Source organism: Homo sapiens, chromosome 19 (assembly GCF_000001405.40).
Source record: "Homo sapiens chromosome 19, GRCh38.p14 Primary Assembly".
In the NCBI taxonomy this organism is placed as follows: Eukaryota; Metazoa; Chordata; class Mammalia; order Primates; family Hominidae; genus Homo; species Homo sapiens.
In genome coordinates, this window is record NC_000019.10 from 1184195 (window position 1) to 1205735 (window position 21541).

The 21541-nt window shown below is 53.0% G+C and overlaps 1 pseudogene, besides 8 other annotated features; it reads left to right on the forward strand.

The window, feature by feature from the left end:
* Positions 109-669: an enhancer, noted in NCBI's record as "H3K27ac-H3K4me1 hESC enhancer chr19:1184302-1184862 (GRCh37/hg19 assembly coordinates)". NCBI's record gives its function as "activates a minimal SCP1, AML or CMV promoter by ChIP-STARR-seq in primed H9 embryonic stem cells {active_cell/tissue: H9 hESC(primed)}" and the evidence as "EXISTENCE:reporter gene assay evidence [ECO:0000049][PMID:30033119]".
* Positions 670-1228: an enhancer, noted in NCBI's record as "H3K27ac-H3K4me1 hESC enhancer chr19:1184863-1185421 (GRCh37/hg19 assembly coordinates)". NCBI's record gives its function as "activates a minimal SCP1, AML or CMV promoter by ChIP-STARR-seq in primed H9 embryonic stem cells {active_cell/tissue: H9 hESC(primed)}" and the evidence as "EXISTENCE:reporter gene assay evidence [ECO:0000049][PMID:30033119]".
* Positions 10339-10568: a silencer, noted in NCBI's record as "silent region_9667". NCBI's record gives its function as "represses an Ori minimal core promoter by ATAC-STARR-seq in GM12878 lymphoblastoid cells {active_cell/tissue: GM12878}" and the evidence as "EXISTENCE:reporter gene assay evidence [ECO:0000049][PMID:35858748]".
* HMGB2P1 (high mobility group box 2 pseudogene 1) lies at positions 18933-19771 on the forward strand (annotated as a pseudogene).
* Positions 20316-20610: a silencer, noted in NCBI's record as "tiled region #12578; K562 Repressive DNase matched - State 5:Enh". NCBI's record gives its function as "represses a minimal TATA promoter and a strong SV40 promoter by Sharpr-MPRA in K562 cells {active_cell/tissue: K562}" and the evidence as "EXISTENCE:reporter gene assay evidence [ECO:0000049][PMID:27701403]".
* Positions 21112-21161: an enhancer, noted in NCBI's record as "active region_13593". NCBI's record gives its function as "activates an Ori minimal core promoter by ATAC-STARR-seq in GM12878 lymphoblastoid cells {active_cell/tissue: GM12878}" and the evidence as "EXISTENCE:reporter gene assay evidence [ECO:0000049][PMID:35858748]".
* Positions 21216-21510: an enhancer, noted in NCBI's record as "tiled region #734; HepG2 Activating DNase unmatched - State 1:Tss, and K562 Activating non-DNase unmatched - State 1:Tss". NCBI's record gives its function as "activates a minimal TATA promoter and a strong SV40 promoter by Sharpr-MPRA in HepG2 and K562 cells {active_cell/tissue: HepG2 | K562}" and the evidence as "EXISTENCE:reporter gene assay evidence [ECO:0000049][PMID:27701403]".
* Positions 21216-21531: a biological region, named in NCBI's record as "Sharpr-MPRA regulatory region 734".
* Positions 21252-21531: a silencer, noted in NCBI's record as "silent region_9668". NCBI's record gives its function as "represses an Ori minimal core promoter by ATAC-STARR-seq in GM12878 lymphoblastoid cells {active_cell/tissue: GM12878}" and the evidence as "EXISTENCE:reporter gene assay evidence [ECO:0000049][PMID:35858748]".

A 21541-nucleotide genomic window follows, 5' to 3' on the forward strand; every position in this document is an offset into this window, starting at 1 on the left:
ACTCCCCAGCCCCAGCCCTGGCATCATTTTTTTTTTTTTTTTGAGACAGAGTTTCACTCTTGTTGCCCAGGCATGGGTGCAGTGGTGCGATTTCGGCTCACTGCAACCTCAGCTTCCCGGGTTCAAGTGATTCTGTCGCCTCAGCCTCCCCAGTAGCTGGGATTACAGGCGCCTGCCACCGCGCCCGGCTAAATTTTGTATTTTTAGTACAGACAGGGTTTCGCCATGTTGGCCAGGCTGGTCTTGAACTCCTGACCTCAGGTGATCCACCCGCCTCAGCCTCCCAAAGTGCTGGGATGACAGGCGTGAGCCACAGTGCTCAGCCCAGGCCAGCATCTACAGGGCACAAGTGGGAATCTGGGTTCTAGGAGGTGAGAACTGGGGGGTGGGGGGTTGCAATGGGTGGAGAGTGCTTTCCCTTCCCTGCAGGCCTTCTCACGTCCACAGGGTTGCAAGCGGGACTGGCAGAGTTGAAACAAAAGTCAGGGAGCAGGGCTGGGCGCAGTGGCTCAAGCCTATAATCCCAGCACTTTGGGAAGCCGAGGGAGGCTGATCACCTGAGGTCAGGAGTTCGAGACCAGCCTGGCCAACATGGAGAAACCCCGTCTCTACAAAAAATACAAAAATTAGCCGGGCTTGGTGGCGGGTGCCTGTAATCCCAGCTACTCGGGAGGCTGAGGCTGGAGAATTGCTTGAACCTGGGAGGCGGAGGTTGCAGCGAGCCGAGGTCGCACCACTGCACTCCAGCCTGGGTGACAGAGCAAGACTCCATCTCAAAAAAACAAAAGAGGAGTGTGGGAACAAGTAGTGAAGATTTCCACCGTTCAAATCCCGCCACTCCCCCCCGGGGCTCTGTGACCTCAGGAAGGCACATGACCTCCCACACTTCAGTTTGCCCATCTATAAAATGAGGATAATCGTGGTACCTCCTTTGGAAGCCTTTTGTGAGAATTTGGTAAGTTCTGGTATGTGTTAAGTGTTTGGAGTGGGGCTTGGGGTATGGTGAAGAGTTTATATTAAAAAAAAGAAAAAAAACCTTCAAGTTGGGCATAGTGGTGCACGCCTGTAATCCCAGCACTTTGGGAGGCCGAGGCGAGCAAATCACTTGAGGTCAGGAGTTTGAGATCCACCTGGCCAACATGGTGAAGCCCTGTCTCTAGTATAAATACAAAAATTAGCCGGGGGTGGTGGTGCACACCTATAGTCCCAGCTACTGAAGAGGCTGAGGCAGGAGAATCTATTGAATCTGGGAGGCAGAGGTTGCAGTGAGCTGAGATCGCGCCATTGCACTCCAGCCTGGGCGACAGAGCCAGACTCCACCTCAAAAAAAAAAAAAAAAACAAACAAGAATCGTTTGGTTGCAGCTGACAGAAATTGAAACTACAACTGGCTCCTTTTTAAAAAACAGGAATTTTTTGCTCATGGAACTGAAAGATTTAGGGATAGAGCTAACTCAAGGCCACCCCTCTCAGCACCGTTGATGTTCTGGAAAGGACCATTCACTAGGGTGGGGGCCGTCCTGGGCACACAGGGTGCTCAGCAATGACCCTGGCCTCCACCCAGTCAACGTCTGTAGCGTCCCCACCCGGTCATGGTGACCAAAAACATCTCCAGACATTGCTGAGTGTCCCCTGGGGGTGTAATCACCCTTGGTTGAGCCCTACTGGTCTGGCGGGTTTCAGACACAGCTGGATCCAGGACCCTCGGTCAGTGTCACAAGGATGTGTCCAATTCTCCATCTCTTAGCATTGCCATCCCCTCTCTTGGCTTTTTTCTTTTCTTTTCCTTTCTTTTTTTTTTTTTTTTTTTTTTTTTGAGACAGGGTCTCGCTCTGTCACCTCTGCTGGAGCCCAATAATGTGACCTGAGCTCACTGCAACCTCTGCCTCCCGGGTTCAAGTGATTCTCCTGCCTCAGCCTCCCGAGTAGCTGGGACTACGGGCGTGCGACACCATGTCTGGCTAATTTACGTATTTTTAGTAGAGATGGGCTTTTGCCATGTTGGCCAGTCTGGTCTTGAACTCCTGACCTCAGGTGATCCACCCGCCATGACCTCCCAAAGTGCTGGGATTACAGGCGTGAGCCACCGTGCCCGGTCTCTCTTATTTTTTTTTTCTTCAACAGACTTTGCCTTTATGGGGAAAAGATGATGCCATAAGCCCCAAATCTCATCTGCCCATCATCTTAACAGCCCTGGCAGGAGTCAACACCTCTTCCCAAGGTGGGGGCACCAAAGTGCCAGGGAGGTTCTCATTCGCCCAGCCTGGGTCACATGTCCTGGTGGGCTGTGGCCTGGTAAGGGGATGCCCAGATTGGCCAGGCAGGGATCACATGGTTGTATGGAGTGAGCCAATTGGGTGAAAACTCGTGGTCGGGATGGGCACGGCGGCTCACGCCTGTCATCCCAGCACTTTGGGAGGCCGAGGCGGGCAGATCATGAGGTCAAGAGTTCGAGACCATCCTGGGCAACATGGTGAAACTTTGTCTCTACTAAAAATACAAAAATTAGCTGGGAGTGGTGTTGCATGCCTGTAATTCCAGCTACTCGGGAGGCTGAGGCAGGAGAATCGCTTGAACCCGGGAGGCGGAGCTTGCAGCGAGCCGAGATCGTGCCACTGCACTCCCAGCCTGGGCAACAGAGTAAGACTCTGTCTCAAAAAAAAAAAAAAGTACAAAACATGAGCCGGGCATGGTGACGCACACCTGTGGTCCCAGCAACTCAAGAGGCTGAGGAGGGAGAATCTCTTGAACCAAGGAGGTGGAGGTTGCAGTGAGCTGAGATTACATCACTGCCCTCCGGCCTGGGTGACGGGGTAAGACTCTGTCTCAAAAAAAAAAAAAAAGGGCCGAGTGCGGTGGCTCACGCCTGTAATCCCAGCACTTTGGGAGGCTGAGGCGGGTGGATCACGAAGTCAGGAGTTCAAGACCAGCCTGGCCAAGATGGTGAAACCCTGTCTCTACTAAAAATACGAAAATTAGCTGGGCATGGTGGCGGATGCCTGTAATCCCAGCTACTCGGGAGGCTGAGGCAGAGAATTGCTTGATCCCGGGAGGCAGAGGTTGCAGTGAGCTGAGATTGCGCCACTGCACTCCAGCCTGGGCAACACAGTGAGACTCTCCTTCTCAAAAAAAAAAAAAAATAGGCCAGGCATGGTTGCTCACGCCTGTAATCCCAGCACTTTGGGAGGCTGAGGCAGGTGGATCACGAGGTCAGGAGATCCAGACCATCCTGGCTAACACGGTGAAACCCCGTCTCTACTAAAAATACAAAAAATTAGCCAGGCGTGGTGGTGGGCGCCTATAGTCCCAGCTACTCAGGAGGCTGAGGCAGGAGAATGGTGTGAACCCGGGAGGCAGAGGTTGCAGTGAGCCGAGATCGCGCCACCACACTCCAGCCTGGGCGACAGAGCTAGACTCTGTCTCAAAAAAAAAGGAAATAATAATAATAACAAAAAACAAAAACAAAAAAACCCTCCTCTATGGACAGAGGCATGATTGGCAGGGGTGGGATAGCTGTTGGCAAAGAAGGCCCAGCTGTGCTAAGCAGGCCACCCATCCCATGGAAGGGCTGGCATGGAGGCAGCACCAGTAGACATCAGAGGATGAATGAGTGGGATCCAGTGCTGCTCAATGAATACATGCGGGTTGTTTTGTTTTTGTTTTTTTGTTTTTTTGAGACAGAGTCTTGCTCTGTCGCCCAGGCTGGAGTGCAGTGGCACGATCTCGGCTCACTGCAACCTCCGCCTCCCGGGTTCAAGCAATTGTCCAGCCTCAGCCTCCCGAGTAGCTGGGACTACAGGCGCCCACCACCACACCCGGCTAATTTTTTGTATTTTCATTTGTTTGTTTATTTGTTTGTTTGTTTTGAGATGGAGTCTCACTCTGTCGCCCAGGCTGGAGTGCAGTGGCATGATCTCAGCTCACTGCAACCTCCGCTTCCCAAGTTCAAGTGATTCTCCTGCCTCAGTCTCCCAAGTACCTGGAACTACAGGCGCCCACCATCACACCCAGCTAGTTTTTTTTTTGTTTTGTTTTTTGTTTTTTTTGAGACGGAGTCTCACTCTGTCGCCCAGGCTGGAGTACAGCGGCTCCATCTTGGCTCACTGCAACCTCTGCCTCTTGTCTTCACGCCATTCTCCTGCCTCAGCCTCCCGAGTAGCTGGGACTACAGGTGCCCGCCACCAAGCCTGGCTAATTTTTTTTTTTTTTTGTATTTTTAGTAGAGACAGGGTTTCACCGTATTTGCCAGGCTGGTCTTGAACTCCTGACCTCGTGATCCACCCACCTCAGCCTCCCAAAGTGCTGGGATTACAGGCGTGAGTCACCGCGCCTGGCCAATTTTTTGTATTTTTAGTAGAGATGGGGTTTCACCATGTTGGGCCAGGCTGGTCTTGAACTCCTGACCTTGTGATCTGCCCGCCTCGGCCTCCCAAAGTGCTGGGATTACAGGCGTGAGCCACCACAGCCAGCCTTTTTGTTTTGTTTTGCTTTGTTTTGTTTCTCTTTTTTAATTGAGACACAGTCCCGCTCTGTCACCCAGGCTGGAGTGCAGTGGTGCGATCTTGGCCCACTGCAACCTCCACCTCCCAAGTTCAAGCGATTCTCCTGCCTCAGCCTCCCGAGTAGTTGAGATTACAGGTGCGCACCACCACACCTGGCTAATTTTGTATTTTTAGTAGAGACGGGTTTTCTCATGTTGGCCAGGCTGGTCTCAAACTCCTGACCTCAAGTGATCTGCTCACCTAAGCCTCCCAAAGTGCAGGGATTACAGGTGTGAGCCACTACACCCAGCCTCTTTTTTTTCTTTTTCTTTTTGAGACAGGGTTTCGCTTTGCCATGCAGGCTGGAGGGCAGTGGTGCAAACAGGGCTCACAGGCAGAGGCTGCTCTGCCTCCTAGGATCAAGGGATCCTCCCACCGCAGCCTCCTGAGTAACTGGGATTACAGGCACAAGCCATCATGCCCAGGTAATAGTTTTAAGGTTTTTTTTAGTAGAGATGGGGATCTCACTATGTTGCTCAGCCTGGTCTCGAACTCCTGGCCTCAAGTGATCTTCCCGCCTCAGCCTCCCAAAGCCTTGGGATTACTGGGTGAGCCCCCGTGCCCAGCCAGTGGCTGCTTGCACTGGCTGGCCTCCAAAGCTGAAAGTATTTGCTCCCTGGCCCTTAACAGAATAGGTGGGCTGACCCCTGCTCTATGTGGTTCTTTGTCCCCAGGCAAGGATTCAGGGACATCTCAGAGCCGCTGGGGTCTCGTCGGTAAAGTGGTGGTGGACGGCATGGAGGAACTTTAGCCCTGGACCAGAAACTTTAGGTCAGTCTATGTCAGCCATTGTTGCTATCAGCCTTCAGGTCGTCTGGGCTGGGAGGTCTCCTCCCTCTTCCTCCAGGCACCAGTGGGAGCAGGCAGTCACACCTTCCTGTGAGTGAGAACCATAGCAGAACCTTCAAAGCACCTCTCAAGTCGGGTGAGTCAGCAGAGGCCTGCAGACAGGGTTGACGGGGGCAGGGTGTGGGGATGTGGGAGACCCAGACTGGGGGCCAGCAAAGGCTGTTCGGAGGAGGTGACCACTGAGCTATGACCTGAATGAGTGAACGAGGCAGTTATTTTATTTTTTTGAGATGGAGTTTCGCTCTTGTCGCCCAGGCTGGAGTGCAGTGGCACAATCTGGGCTCACTGCGACCTCCACCTCCCGGGTTCAAGCGATTCTCCTGCCTCAGCCTCCTGAGTAGCTGGGATTACAGGCGGCCGCCACCACGCACAGCTAGTTTTGTATTTTTAGTAGAGATGGGGTTTCTCCATGTTGGCCAGGCTGGTCTCGAACTCCCGACCTCAGGTGATCTGCCTGCCTCGGCCTCCAAAAGTGCTGGGATTACAGGCGTGAGCCACCGCGCCCGGGAACTTCAAGTGATTCTTGAAGGAGACAATTATGTGGGTCCATGGGGAGGAGCCTTTGAGGTGGCAGGAGGGAACCAGTCCTGATGAGGGAAGATTAAAGGACAGTGGGGCTGGGGATGGTGGCCCACACCTGTGTTTGCAGCACTTTGGGAGGCTGAGGCAGGAGGATCACTAGAGCCCAAGAGTTCAAGATCAGCCTGGCCTACAAAAAAATATTTAAAAATTTGCTGGGTGTGGGAGGCTGAAGTCAGAGGATCACCTGAGCCCAGGGAGTTGGAGGCTGCAGTGAGCGGTAATCATGCCACTGCACTTCAGCCTGGGGGACAGAGTGAGACCCTGTCTGAAAAAAAAAAAAATTGGGCCAGGTGCGGTGGCTCATGCCTGTAATCCCAGCACTTTGAGAGGCCGAGGCGGGCGGATCCCGAGGTCAGGAGATCGAGACCATCCTGGCTAACACAGTGAAACCCCGTCTCTACTAAAAATACAAAAAATTAGCCGGGCGTGGTGGCAGGCGTCTGTAGTCCCAGCTACTCGGGAGGCTGAGGCAAGAGAATGGCCTGAACCCAGGAGGCGGAGCTTGCAGTAAGCTGAGATTGTGCCACTGCACTCCAGCTTGGGCGACAGAGCGAGACTCTGTCTCAAAAAAAAAAAAAAAAATTAGCCGGGCATGGGGGCACATGCCTGTAATCCCAGCTATTGAGGAGGCTGAGGCAGGAGAATTGCTTGAACCCGGGAGGTGGAGGTTGCAGTGAGCCGAGGTCGCACCATTGCACTCCAGCCTGGGCAACAAGAGCAAAACTCCATCTCAAATAAATAAATAAATAATAAAAAAATAAAAAATAAAGAGGGTGGGCATGATGGCTCAAGCCTGTAATCCCAGCATTTTGGGAGGCTGAAGCAGGTGGATCACTTGAGGTCAGGAGTTCGAGACCAGCCTGGCCAACATGGAGAAACCCTGTCTCTACTAAAAATACAAAAAATAAAATAAAATAAAATAAAATAAGCCAGGTGTGGTGGCGGGTGCCTGTCATCCCAGCTAACTGGGAGGCTGAGGCAGGAGAATCACTTGAACTGGGGAGAAGGAGGTTGCAGTGAGCCAAGACAGCTGCACTGCCCTTTAACCCAGGCAATAGAGTGAGACTATGTGTCAAAAAAAAAAAAAAAAAAGGACATTATTAGAGTTGGAAGGAAATGACCATAGGCCCAGGGTTCCACGGTCCAGACCACCACACACAACTGATGCAGGATATAACCGAGTCATTCCATCCCAGGTAATACCCAAGTACCCACGGGAGGATCAACATCCACGGAAAAGCCTGTGTACAAATTTCATAGTAGCAAATGCTTCTCCTATGCGTCTTTTTTTTTTCTTTTTTCTTTTTTTTTTTTTTGAGACAGAGTCTTGCTCTGTCACCCAGGCTGGAGTGCAGTGGCACGATCTCGGCTCACTGCAAGCTCTGCCTCCTGGGTTCAAGCAATTCTCCTGCCTCAGCCTCCTGAGTAGCCGGGACTACAGGCGCGCGCCACTGCGAGGCTAATTTTTTGTACTTTTAGTAGAGACGGGGTTTCACCGTGTTAGCCAGGATGGTCTCGATCTCCTGACCTCATGATCCGCCCGCCTTGGCCTCCCAAAGTTGTGGGACTACAGGCGTGAGCCACCGCTCCCGGACACGTCTGGCTAATTTTTTTGTATTTTTACTAGAGACGAGGTTTTGCCGTGTTCCCCATGCTGGTCTCAAACTCCTGGGATCCAGTGATCCACCCACCTTAGCCTCCCAACATGCTGGGATTACAGGTGTGAGCTACTGTGTCCGGCCCAAATTGTCTAATTTTTAAAAATAGTTTCTGGGTTATGGATCTGAATAAAGCGTGCAATTAGTGAACAGTTTATAAACCTCTTGTGTGCTTTTAATTTATTTTATTTTATTTATTTATATATATTTTTTGAGACAGAGTCTCGCTCTGTCACCCAGGCTGGAGTGCAGTGGTGCGATCTCAGCTCACTGCAACCTCTGCCTCCAGGGTTCAAGCGATTCTCCTGCCTCAGCCTCACGAGTAGCTGGGATTACAGGTACCTGCCAGTATGCCCGGCTAATTTTTGTATTTTTAGTAGAGATGGGGTTTTGCCATGTTGGCCAGGCTGGTCTCGAACTGCTGGCCTCAAGTGATCCTCCCTCCTGGCCCTGCACAGTGCTGGGATGACAGGCTGAGCCACCTCACCGGCCTCTTATGTGCCTTTTAATCTGCAGGTTCGCCCTCCCTCTCTCTTTCTGTGGTTTGTTTTTGTTTTTTTTTTTCTTTTTTTCTTTTGTATGAAACCCAGTTGTTTTTCCTGTTAAGTTTCCCACAGTCTAGAATTTGCTGATTTTTTTCTGTGATAATTTAAGTTTTTGAATAGTGATGCATTCCCGTGTCGTAAAACTGAAGAGTCAAAAGCATACCCAGACTGCAGCCGCTGGGGAAGAGTGTGGTAGCTCCACAAGAAGTTAAACGGAGGCGGGGTACGGGGGCTGGGCGTGGAGGCCGGGCGCAGGGGCGGATGCCTGCAACCCCAGCACGCTGGGAGGCCAAGGCGGGCGGATCACTTGAGGTCAGGAGTTTGAGACCAGCCTGACTAACATAGCAAGACCCCATCTCTACAAAAAATACAAAAAAATTAGCTAGGCATGGTTAACTGCTGTTTTTGTCAAGATGGGTTATTACTATGTTGCCCAGGCTGGTTTCAAACTCCTGTCCTCAACTGACTCAGAAGGATCAACTTAGCCCAGGAGTTCAACATAGCGAGACCCTGTCTCTACAAAAGAAATGTTAAAAAAATTAACCAGGCCTGGTGGCATGCACCTGTACTCCCAGCTACTTGTGAGGCTGAGGTGGGAGGACTGTTTGAGCCATGGAGTCTGAGGCTGCAGTGAGCTACGATTGCACCTGGAACCCAGGCCTCTCCCGTCTGGAACCCAGGCCCTCACCTACACTGTCAGCCCCTCCACCTGGAACTTGTAGAACTTACCTGTAAGCCCAGGCTTCACCTGAAACCCCAGTCCCCCACCTGGAACCCAGGCCCTCACCTACACTGTCAGCCCCTCCACCTGGAACTTTAGAACTTACCTGTAGCCCCAGCCTTCACCTGAAACCCCAGTCCCCCACCTGGAACCCAGTCCCCCACCTGGAACCTGGGCCTCCCCAACCTGTAACCCAGGCCCCCACCTAGAACCTGGGCCTCTGTGATCTGTAACCCAGGCCCTCATCTGGAACCTAGGGCTCTGTGGAAACTGTGGCACTCACATGTAAACCTGGCTTCCACCTGAAACCCCAGTCCCCCACCTGTAATCCAGCTTGGGTGAGACAGCAAGACCCTGTCTCAAAAAAAAAAAAAAAAAAAAGGCCGAGCACGGTGGCTCACGCCTGTAATCCCAGCACTTTGGGAGGCCGAGGCAGGTGGATCACAAGGTCAGGAGTTCAAGACTAGCCTGGCCAATACGGTGAAAACACGTCTCTAATAAAAATATAAAAATTAGCTGGGCATGGTGATGGGCGCCTGTAGTCCCAGCTACTCGGGAGGCTGAGGCAGGAGAATCCCTTGAACCGGGAGACAGAGGTTGCAGTGAGCCGAGATCGTGCCACTGCTCTCTAGCCTGGGCAACAGAGCAAGACTCCGTTTCAAAAAAAAAAAAGGGAATAAATGTCATGTTACATATATTTTATGAGAATTCTAAAATATATTTTATGGCAGGGCACAGTGGCTCACGCCTGTATTCCCAGCACTTTGGGAGTCTCGCTCTGTCCCCAGGCTGGAGAGCAGTGGTGCGATCTCGGCTCACTGCAACCTCTACCTCCCGGGTTCAAGCGATTCTCCTGCCTCAGCCTCCCGAGTAGCTTGGACTACAGGCGCCCGCCACCACGCCCGGCTAATTTTTTGTATTTTTAATAGAGACAGGGTTTCACCGTGTTAGCCAGGATGGTCTCGATCTCCTGACCCCGTGATCTGCCCCCCTCCCAAAGTGCTGTGATTACAGACGTGAGCCACCGCGCCCGGCCTATTATTTTTTACTTTTTTTTTTTTTTTTTGAGGCGGAGTCTTGCTCTGTTGCCCAGGCTGGAGTGCAGTAGCATGATCTCGGCTCACTGCAACCACCGCCTTCCAGGTTCAAGCGATTCTCCCGCCTCAGCCTCCCAACTAGCTGGGATTACAGGTGCCCGCCACCACGCCCGGCTAATTTTTGTATTTTTAGTAGAGATGGGGTTTCACCATGTTGGCCAGGCCGGTCCCGAACTCCTGACCTCAGGTGATCCACCCGCCTCAGCTTCCCAAAGTTCTGGGATTACATGCGTGAGCCACCGCGCCCGGCCTATTTTTCACTTTTTTTTTTTTAGCCGAATGTGGCGAGGACAGTTATCGGATTATTTGCAGCGGATCCTACACGTCCCCTCCTCCTGCCTCTTGCCCTGCGCTCCCGAAGGGGCCTCCGGACCCGGAGGATCTCACCGCGGGGCGGGGTCCACGGCGAGGGGGCTCGGCCAAGCGGGCAGCCTCGCGCACGCGCACTCAACCCGGACGCGGGCCTCTCCGCCGCAGCCCGCGCCCGCCACCTGGCGGCCACAGCGGTCCGCGCAGACCGCCGGCCCCTTTTCTATCCGCGACCGGATACCTGGCAGGGGTCTAGGAAAGACCCCTCTGGCTGCTGCGGGGCCAGTGCGTGCGAGGCTCGACCCCACTCCATTGCGTGGGGGGGCTGAGCTAGGTCCGTGAAGCGGGGCGGTTGCGATCAAGGCCCCGACTTTTTTTTTTTTTTTTTTTTTTTTTTTTTTTTTTTGAGACGGAGTCTCGCTCTGTCGCCCAGGCCGGACTGCGGACTGCAGTGGCGCCATCTCGGCGCACTGCAACCTCTACCTCCCGGGTTCAAGCGATTCTCCTGCCTCAGCCTCCCGAGTAGCTGGGACTACAGGCGCCCGCCACCGCGCCCGGCTAATTTTTTGTATTTTTAGTAGAGACGGGGTTTCACCTTGTTAGCCAGGATGGTCTCGATCTCCTGACCTCATGATCCACCCGCCTCGGCCTCCCAAAGTGCTGGGATTACAGGCGTGAGCCACCGCGCCCGGCCAAGGCCCCGACTTTTAGACCACTAGTGGAGGAGGTCTGGGACACGGGTCTGCGGCCAGAGAGAGGCCAGGAGGGAGGACTGGCGGGCATTTCTCCGCAGGGTGGGGGTGAACGGGGGCCTGGGCATCGGAGCCGGGGGGAACGTGGGGTCAGCGAGGGGTTCTAGGGGAGGAAATGGTAGGAGAGCTCCTGCCCTGCAGGCTGGAGGGCAGGATCTGTGTGTTTGGGGGGAGTCATGGGTGGGTAGGAGAGATGACAGGTGACAGCCTGGAGGAAGAGATGGAGGGAGGCTTGAGCCCTGGGCGGGGCTGGCAGAAGCCCCCACCTATAACTTGGGACCTCTGAACCTGGAACCCAGCCCCCACCTGGGACCTGGGCCTCTCCCATCTGTAACCCAGGCCCTCACCTAGAACCTCTGAACCTGGAACCCAGCCCCCACCTGGGACCTGGGCCTCTCCCATCTGTAACCCAGGCCCTCACCTAGAACCTGGGACCTCTGAACCTGGAACCCAGCCCCCACCTGGGGCCTGGAACCTCCACCAGGAACTTGTGCCCCCCTCTTTGGAACCCTTGCCTTCACCTGAAAACCCAGTTACCGGCTGGGCGCGGTGGCTCACGCCTGTAATCCCAGCACTTTGGGAGGCCAAGGCGGGCAGATCACGAGGTCAGGAGATCGAGACCATCCTGGCTAACACGGTGAAACCCCGTCTCTACTAAAAATACAAAAAATTAGCCAGGCGTTGTGGCGGGCGCCTGTAGTCCCAGCTACTCGGGAGGCTGAGGCAGGAGAATGGCGTGAACCCGGGAGGTGGAGCTTGCAGTGAGCCGAGATTGCGCCACTGCACTCCAGCCTGGGCAACAAAGCAAGATACCGTCTCAAAGAAAAAAAAAAGGAAAACCCAGTTCCCCACCTAGAACCCAGGCCCCGACCTGAAACCTGGGCCCCTCCACTTGTAACCAGGGACCCCCACCTAGTATCTGAGCCTCTCCCATCTGTAACCCAGGCCTTCACCTAGAACCTGGGCCTCTGCAAGTGTAACCTGGGGTTCCTACCAGGAACCTGAGGCCCTCATGTGTAACCTGCGGCCCCCGACCTGGAGCCTGGGCCTCTCTCATCTATAACCCAGACCCTCACCTAGAACCTGGGCCCCTGCAACTGTAACCTGTGGCACTCACTGTAAGCCCGGACTTCACCTGAAACCCCAGTCCCGCACCTGTAAACCTACACCCCGCCAGGAACCTGGGCCTCTCCAACCTATAATTGAGGCCCTCACCTGTAACTTAAGCCCACACTTGTAACCTGGGGCTCTCTGCTATAACTTGGGGCCCCCACCCATAAGCCAGTTCCCTTAACAGAACCTGCAGTTTGGTGAGGATGAGAGAATGCAAAGAAAGCATTTTCCCCAGGACTACCATAAATAGTCATAAGCATCACTTTTTCCTATTACCATAGCATTACCATTTGTCACGGTTTACCCACCCGAGGTCACTCTGCCTCTTTTTCACTTTATTTTTTTTTTATTTTTATTTTTTTGAGATGGAGTCTCTCTCTGTCGCCCAGGCTGGAGTGCGGTGGCGCGATCTCGGCTCACTGCAAGCTCCGCCTCCCAGGTTCACGCCATTCTCCTGCCTCAGCATCCCGAGTAGCTGGGACTACAGGCGCCCGCCACCGCGCCCGGCTAATTTTTTGTATTTTTAGTAGAGACGGGGTTTCACCTTGTTAGCCAGGATGGTCTCGATCTCCTGACCTCATGATCCACCCGCCTCGGCCTCCCAAAGTGCTGGGATTACAGGCGTGAGCCACCGCGCCCGGCCAAGGCCCCGACTTTTAGACCACTAGTGGAGGAGGTCTGGGACACGGGTCTGCGGCCAGAGAGAGGCCAGGAGGGAGGACTGGCGGGCATTTCTCCGCAGGGTGGGGGTGAACGGGGGCCTGGGCATCGGAGCCGGGGGGAACGTGGGGTCAGCGAGGGGTTCTAGGGGAGGAAATGGTAGGAGAGCTCCTGCCCTGCAGGCTGGAGGGCAGGATCTGTGTGTTTGGGGGGAGTCATGGGTGGGTAGGAGAGATGACAGGTGACAGCCTGGAGGAAGAGATGGAGGGAGGCTTGAGCCCTGGGCGGGGCTGGCAGAAGCCCCCACCTATAACTTGGGACCTCTGAACCTGGAACCCAGCCCCCACCTGGGACCTGGGCCTCTCCCATCTGTAACCCAGGCCCTCACCTAGAACCTCTGAACCTGGAACCCAGCCCCCACCTGGGACCTGGGCCTCTCCCATCTGTAACCCAGGCCCTCACCTAGAACCTGGGACCTCTGAACCTGGAACCCAGCCCCCACCTGGGGCCTGGAACCTCCACCAGGAACTTGTGCCCCCCTCTTTGGAACCCTTGCCTTCACCTGAAAACCCAGTTACCGGCTGGGCGCGGTGGCTCACGCCTGTAATCCCAGCACTTTGGGAGGCCAAGGCGGGCAGATCACGAGGTCAGGAGATCGAGACCATCCTGGCTAACACGGTGAAACCCCGTCTCTACTAAAAATACAAAAAATTAGCCAGGCGTTGTGGCGGGCGCCTGTAGTCCCAGCTACTCGGGAGGCTGAGGCAGGAGAATGGCGTGAACCCGGGAGGTGGAGCTTGCAGTGAGCCGAGATTGCGCCACTGCACTCCAGCCTGGGCAACAAAGCAAGATACCGTCTCAAAGAAAAAAAAAAGGAAAACCCAGTTCCCCACCTAGAACCCAGGCCCCGACCTGAAACCTGGGCCCCTCCACTTGTAACCAGGGACCCCCACCTAGTATCTGAGCCTCTCCCATCTGTAACCCAGGCCTTCACCTAGAACCTGGGCCTCTGCAAGTGTAACCTGGGGTTCCTACCAGGAACCTGAGGCCCTCATGTGTAACCTGCGGCCCCCGACCTGGAGCCTGGGCCTCTCTCATCTATAACCCAGACCCTCACCTAGAACCTGGGCCCCTGCAACTGTAACCTGTGGCACTCACTGTAAGCCCGGACTTCACCTGAAACCCCAGTCCCGCACCTGTAAACCTACACCCCGCCAGGAACCTGGGCCTCTCCAACCTATAATTGAGGCCCTCACCTGTAACTTAAGCCCACACTTGTAACCTGGGGCTCTCTGCTATAACTTGGGGCCCCCACCCATAAGCCAGTTCCCTTAACAGAACCTGCAGTTTGGTGAGGATGAGAGAATGCAAAGAAAGCATTTTCCCCAGGACTACCATAAATAGTCATAAGCATCACTTTTTCCTATTACCATAGCATTACCATTTGTCACGGTTTACCCACCCGAGGTCACTCTGCCTCTTTTTCACTTTATTTTTTTTTTATTTTTATTTTTTTGAGATGGAGTCTCTCTCTGTCGCCCAGGCTGGAGTGCGGTGGCGCGATCTCGGCTCACTGCAAGCTCCGCCTCCCAGGTTCACGCCATTCTCCTGCCTCAGCATCCCGAGTAGCTGGGACTACAGGCGCCCACCACCACGCCCAGCTAAATTTTGCATTTTTTAGTAGAGACGGGGTTTCACCATGTTAGCCAGGATGGTCTCAATCTCCTGACCTCGTGATCCACCCTCCTCGGCCTCCCAAAGTGCTGGGATTACAGGCATGAGCCACCGTGCCCGGCTCACTCTGCCTCTTTATATCCAGAGTGTCATCAAATTTATGAATTCAAGGCCAGGCTTAGTGGCTCATGCCTATAATCCCAGCTTTTTCGGAGGCCAAGGTAGGTGGATTACTTGATGTCAGGAGTTCGAGACCAGCCTGGGCAACATGGTGAAACTCCGTCTTTACTAAAAATACAAAAATTAGCTGGGCATGGTGGTGGGCACCTGTAATCCCAGCTACTCGAGAGGCTGAGACAGGAGAATCGCTTGAACCCAGGAGGCAGAGGTTGCAGTGAACCAAGACTGCGTCACTGCACTCCAGCCTGGGCGACAGAGCAAGACTCTGTCTCAAAAAAAGAAAAACACAGGCCAGGAACGGTGGCTCACACCTGTAATCCCAGCACTTTGGGAGGCCGAGGCGGGCGGATCACAAGGTCAGGAGTTCAAGACCAGCCTGGCCAATATGGTGAAACCCCGTCTCCACTAAAAATAAAAAAAAAAAACCTAGCCAGGTGTGGTGGCGCACGCTTGTAATCCCAGCTACTCGGGAGGCTGAGGCAGGAGAATCGCTTGAACCCAAGAGGTGGAGGTTGCAGTGAGCTGAGATTGTGCCACTGCACTCCAGCCTGGACAATAGAGGGAGACTCCATCTAAAATAAATACATAAATGAAAATGTGTAGATATCTACGAGTTCGGTGGGGATTCATACAACAGTGCATCTCATTCCCGACCGTGTCTTATCTTTGATGACAGGGTCATCGTTAATCCTCCATCCAGAGAAATGGGAAGTTAGAGGCCAGGACCTCCCAGCTGAAGATTTCTGTGGGACACAGGGCTGGGCCAGAGAAAAGGGCCCTGCAGGAGACCCTTAGAATAGCCGCCGGGCGACTGGCCCCACGGTGCCGGGAAGGACCCTTTGATCTGATTCCGCCATATGATCCGGTTCCGTGCTGGCCCAGCCTGGCCTGGGTTGGATGCCTGGTCCGATGCCCAAAGCCCCATCACCCTGAAGCAGATGGAGCTGGCATCCTGAATGAGACTCCTGGGGGCTCCAGGGCTCTCAGGTGGGAGTCCCAGAGCCACCAGGGACCTGGAGTGTAGACCTGGGCAGGGAGCTTGCTCTCTGCCAGCTGCAGTGGGCTCACCTGTGAGGGAGGATGTTAGAATAGTTCTTTTTTAAAAAAAAAAATTTTTTTTTTGAGACAGGATCTGGCTCTGTTGCCAGGCAGGAATGCAGTGGCGTGATCATGGCTCACTGCAACCTCCACCTCCCGGGCTCAGGTGATCCTCCCACCTCAGCCTCCCAAGTAGCTGGGACCACAGGCGCCCGCCACCATGACTGGTGAGTTTTTGTTTTTTGTTTTGTTTTGTTTTGTTTTTGAGACAAGAGTCTCACTCTGTTGCCCAGGCTGGAGGGCAATGGCGCGATCTCGGCTCACTGCAACCTCCGCCTCCTAGGTTCAGGCAATTCTCCTGCTTCAGCCTCCCGAGTAGCTGGGATTACAGGCGCCAGCCACCACGCCCGGATAATTTTGTATTTTTAGTAGATACTGGGTTTCACCATGTTGGCCACGCTGGTCTCCAATTCCTGACTTCAGGTGATCCGCCCGCCTCGGCCTCCCAAAGTGCTGGGATTACAGGCTGCGAGCTACCGCGCCTGGCCCCTAGTTTTTGTACTTTTTGTAGAGATTGGTTTTCACCATGTTGCCCAGGCTGGTCTTGGACTCCTGAACTCAAGCAATCCTCCCGCCTCGGCCTCCCAAAGTGCTGGGATTATAGGGGTGAGCCACTGCGCCCGGCCTTGTTTTCTTCTTTTCAGTAGAGACAGGGTCTTGTTCTATTGCCCACACTGGAGTGTAGTGACATAATCCCAGCTCACTGCAGCCTCAAACTCCCAGCCTCTGTTGATCCTACTGCCTCAGCCTCCCGAGTAGCTGGGACTACAAGCGTGGGCCACTGCTCCTGGTCTATTTTCAGTTTTTTTTTTTTGTTTGTTTTTGAGATGGAGTCTCACTCTGTCGCCCAGGCTGGAGTGCAGAGGCATGATCTCAGCTCACCACAACCTCCTCTTCCCAGGTTCAAGCAATTCTCCTGCCTCAGCCTTCCAAGTAGCTGGGACTACAGGCATGCACCACTACGCCTGGCTAATTTTTGTATTTTTTAAGTAGAGACAGGCTTTCACCATGTTGCCCAGGCTGGTCTGGAACTCTTGGCCTCAAGGGATCCGCCCACCTCGGCCTCCCAAAGTGATGGGATTACAGGCATGAGCTGCCATGCCTGGCCCTATTTTCACTTTTTGACTCTTGTGAATAACGCTGTTTTGAAAATTCATGCGTGTTTGTGTGAACAGGTTTCTAGTTCTCTCGGGCATATATCTTGGGGTGGAATTGCCAGTACATATAGCAACTCTATGTTTAAACTTTTGACTCTTTTCCAAAGGGGTTGCCCCGCTTATGAGAATTCTGGTTTCTCCACATCCTCACCAATACTTGTTATGGTCCATCTTTTTTTGTTATTTATATATTTTATCTATTTTTATTTTTTTGAGACGGAGTCTTGCTCTGTCGCCAGGTTGGAGTGCAGTGGCGTGATCTCCGCTCACTGCAACCTCTGTCTCCCGGGTTCAAGTGATTCTCCTGCCTCAGCCTCCCGAGTACCTGGGATTAGAAGGGTGCGCCACCACGCCCAACTAATTTTTGTATTTTTAGTAGAGACGGGGTTTCGCCATGTTGGCCAGGATGGTCTTGATCTCCTGACCTCATGATCCGCCCGCCTCGGCCTCCCAAAGTGCTGGGATTACAGGCGTGAGCCACTGCACCTGGCCTGTTATTTATGTATTTATTTTTTTTTGAGACAAGTTCTTGCTATGTTGCCCAGGCTGGCCTCAAACTCCTAGGCTCAAGAGATCCTCCCAAAGTTCTGGGATTACAGGTGTGAGCCACTGTGCATAACCCTGAAGTGGTTAATTTTAATAATACATTTACTTTAGCCTAACATATCCAAAATTACATCATTTCAACATGCAATCATTATTAAAATTATTAATGAGATATTTTATTTTATTTTTATTTATTTATTTTTTTGAGACGGAGTCTCGCTCTGTCTCCCAGGCTGGAGTGCGGTGGCGCGATCTTGGTTCACTGCAAGCTCCGCCTCCTGGGTTCACGCCTTTCTCCTGTCTCAGCCTCCCGAGTAGCTGGGATTACAGGTGCCCGCCACCACGCCCAGCTAATTTTTGTATTTTTAGTAGAGACCAGGTTTCACCACGTTGGCCAGGATGGTCTCGAACTCCTGACCTCGTGATCAGCCCACCTTGGCCTCCTAAAGTGCTGGGATTACAGGCGTGAGCCACTGTGTCTGGCCAGTGAGATATTTTATTTGTGCCCTTTTTTTTTTTTTTTGAGACCGAGTCTCACTGTGTTGCCCAGGCTGCAGTGCAGTGGCACAATCTTGGCTCACTGCAACCTCTGCCTCCCAGGTTCAAGCGATTCTCTTACCTCAGCCTCCTGAGTAGCTGGGATTACAGGCGGGCGCCACGACACCTGGCTAGTTTTTGTATTTTTAGTAGAGACGGGGGTTTTACCATGTTGCCCAGGCTGGTCTTGAACTCTTGACCTCAGGTGATCACCTGCCTTGGCCCCCCAAAGTGCTGGGATTACAGGCAAAAGCCGCCATACCAGGCCCATTTTTTTTTCTTTCGAGACGGAGTCTCATTGTTGCCCAAGGTGGAGTGCAATGGCAAGATCTCAGCTCCCTGCAACCTCTGCCTCCTGGGTTCAAGCGATCCTCCTGCCTCAGCCTCCCAAGTAGCTGAGATTACGGGCGCCCGCCACCACGCCTGGCTAATTTTTGTATTTTTAGTAGAGACAGGGTTTTACCACGTTGGCCAGACTGGTCTCAAACTCCTGACCTCGGGTGATCCATCCGCCTCGGCCTCCCAAAGTGCTGGGATTACAGGTGTGAACTACCGTGCCTGGCAGGCCCATTTTTAATTTTTCTAACTTTGGAAATTCAGTGTGTAGGGCAGGCATGGTGCCTCATGCCTGTAATCCCAGAACTTTGGGAGGCCGAGGCAGGTGGATCACCTGAGGTTAGGAGTTCGGGACCAGCCTGAACAATATGGTGAAACCCTGTCTCTATTGAAAATCCAAAAATTATCCAGCCATGGTGGTGTATGCCTGTAGTCCCAGCTACTCCAGAGGCTGAGACAGGAGAATTGCTTGAATCTGGGAAGCAGAGGTTGCAGTGAACCAAGATCATGCCATTGCACTCCAGCCCGGGCAACAGAGCGAGACTCCGTCTCAAAAAAAAAAAAAGAGAGTCAGTGTGGAGGGAAGTGTCTCTGTTGGGTCCGGGTGCTCTGTGGGACTCTGAGGAAAAGCTCGCACCAGGTAGATGCTGTTCTGTCCCCATGGGTAAAGGACACCCCAACAAACCGAGGAGCAAAATGTCCTCGTATGCCCTCTTCGCGCAGACCTGCCAGGAAGAGCACAAGAAGAAACACCCGGACTCTTCTGTCAATTTCGTGGAATTCTCCAAGAAGTGTTTGGAGAGATGGAAGACCACGTCTGCAAAGGAGAAGTGAAGTTTGAAGAGAAGGCAAAAAGTGACAAAGCTCGCTGTGACAGGGAGATTAAAAATTACATTCCTCCGAAATGTAAGAAAGGGTAAGAAAGGAAAGAAAAAGGATCGCAATGCTCCTAGAAGGCCACCATCTGCCTTCTTCCTGTTTTGCTCTGAACATCGCCCAAAGATCAAAAGTGGACACCCAGGCCTATTTGTCGTGGAAACTGCAAAGAAACTGGGTGAAATGTGGTCTGGGCAGTCAGCCAAAGATAAACAACCATATGAGCAGAAAGCAGTTAAGCTACAGGAGAGATATGAAAAGGGTATTGCTGCATATCGTGCTAAGGGCAAAAGTGAAGCAGGAAAGAAGGGCTCAAAGAAGAACAAACCAGAAGATGAGGAGGAGGAGGAGGAGAAAGAAGATGAAGATGAGGAGGAAGAGGGTGAAGATGAAGAATAAATGGCTATCCTTTAATGATGCCTGTGCAGTGGGCTTGTTTTGCTAAGAATGTGAATTCTAGTACAGCTCAGTATTAGCTTCAGTATAAAACTGTACAAATTTTCGTATAGCTCATAAGATTCTCTGTACAGAAAATACTTTTCTTTTCTTTTCTTTTTTTTGAGACAGAGTTTCGCTCTTGTTGCCTAGGCTGGAGTGCAATGGCGTGATCTCGGCTCACCGCAACCTCCGCCTCCCGGGTCCTGGTTCAAGCAGTTCTCCTGCCTCAGCCTCCTGAGTAGCTGGGATTACAGGCACATGCCACCACGCTCAGCTAATTTTTGTATTTTTAGTAGAGATGGGGTTTCACCATGTTGGCCAGGCTGCTTTCAAACTCCTGACCTCGTGATCCGCCTGCTTCGGCCTCCCAAAATACTGGGATTACAGGTGTGAGCCACCGCACCCTGCCTAATGTCCCTAAATATTTAATGGTTTTTAAAAAATTTATTGTGTATGGCAGCACAGCACACTTGTAGGAATTAGTATCAACAGTACATCTTGCGTTTTTTAAGATGCTGCATTTTTTAACATTTTGTAATAAAATTATGCGTATCAAAAAAACAAAGAAATTCCGTGTGTAGTTCACACTCACAGCACATCTCCGTCCAGGCACTTGAGAGAATGACTAGGAGGGGTTCTTGGAGGAGGTGGTCTTTGAACGGAGAATCCATCTTCAAGGATTCTGTCTGTAATGGTCACCAAGTATTTCCTGAGTCACTTCCATGTGTCCTGCAGTTCTCTGAAGGGGCGTGGGACCTACCGATGCCAATTATCCAGCATTATCTCCAGATTCCAAGAAGTTGGGGTGTGAGCCAGCAATCAGTACAGAAAAGAGATACCAAAATAAGTTTGAGTTGGGGAGTGTTCCTTCAACTTCAGTTTTCTGGAAGAGATCTTTTTTTTTTTTTTGAGACAGAGTTTCGCTCTTATTGCCCAAGCTGGAGTGCAGTGGCACGATCTCGGCTCACCGCAACCTCCTCCTCCCGGGTTCAAGCGATTCTCCTCCCTCAGCCTTCTGAGTAGCTGGGATTACAGACATGCACCTGTAATTTCTACTAAAAATACAAAAATTAGCCGGGCGTGGTGGCGCACGCCTGTAATCTCAGCTACTGGGGAGGCTGAGGCAGGAGAATCGCTTGAAACCAGGAGGCGGAGATTGTACCAAGATAGTTTGTTCCAGCTAAACAACCTGGCGCTAGTGCAGGAAAAGGTGGAAGGCACGGGGCTAGCACAGGAGGGTTCAATATTTTCAACCTTATCAAGCCATATTTTGGCAACTCTTGTTTTTCACGAGAAGCCCCCGCTGGGCTTGTCCCAGCGCTGTCCTGAGGCTTCCCCCATGAGTTCCGATAGGGCAGAGGCCGCCCTGAGCGTTTCTCTTTCCCCTGGTCCAAGAGTGGCTCAAAAGAAGGATTTTTGACTGGAATTGGCCACTTTGTGTTACTTTTTGACCCTTGACCTCGCCCCAAAGGGGGATGCGGGGGAGGGGCTCTGGTAGGGGTGGCCCCGCTCCTTCCAGGTCCGCAAGCCCAGGTTCCCGCCCACCGGGCTCAGCCCACCCTGCGGCCGTTCAGGGAGGCCGTTGGCACCCGTGACCTACGACCCCCTTCCCGAGCCCCACCGAGGTCACAGCCGTGGCCTCGTCTCCCCATGCCTGCTTCCCGCCCCCTGCCCGTGACGGGCGTCTCCGAGGACCAATGAGCGCGCTGTATCCACCCCTCGGGCGGGGCCAAGCGCCGACCAATCGCCGCTCGGGCGCCCGGCCGGGTCCAAACGCTCCAATCGTCAGCGGCGGCGGGGCGGGCAGAGGGCCGGGGATGGCAGGTTCAACCAACGGGTGGGCACGTCGTCCTCGCGAGGAGGCGTGCCCTGC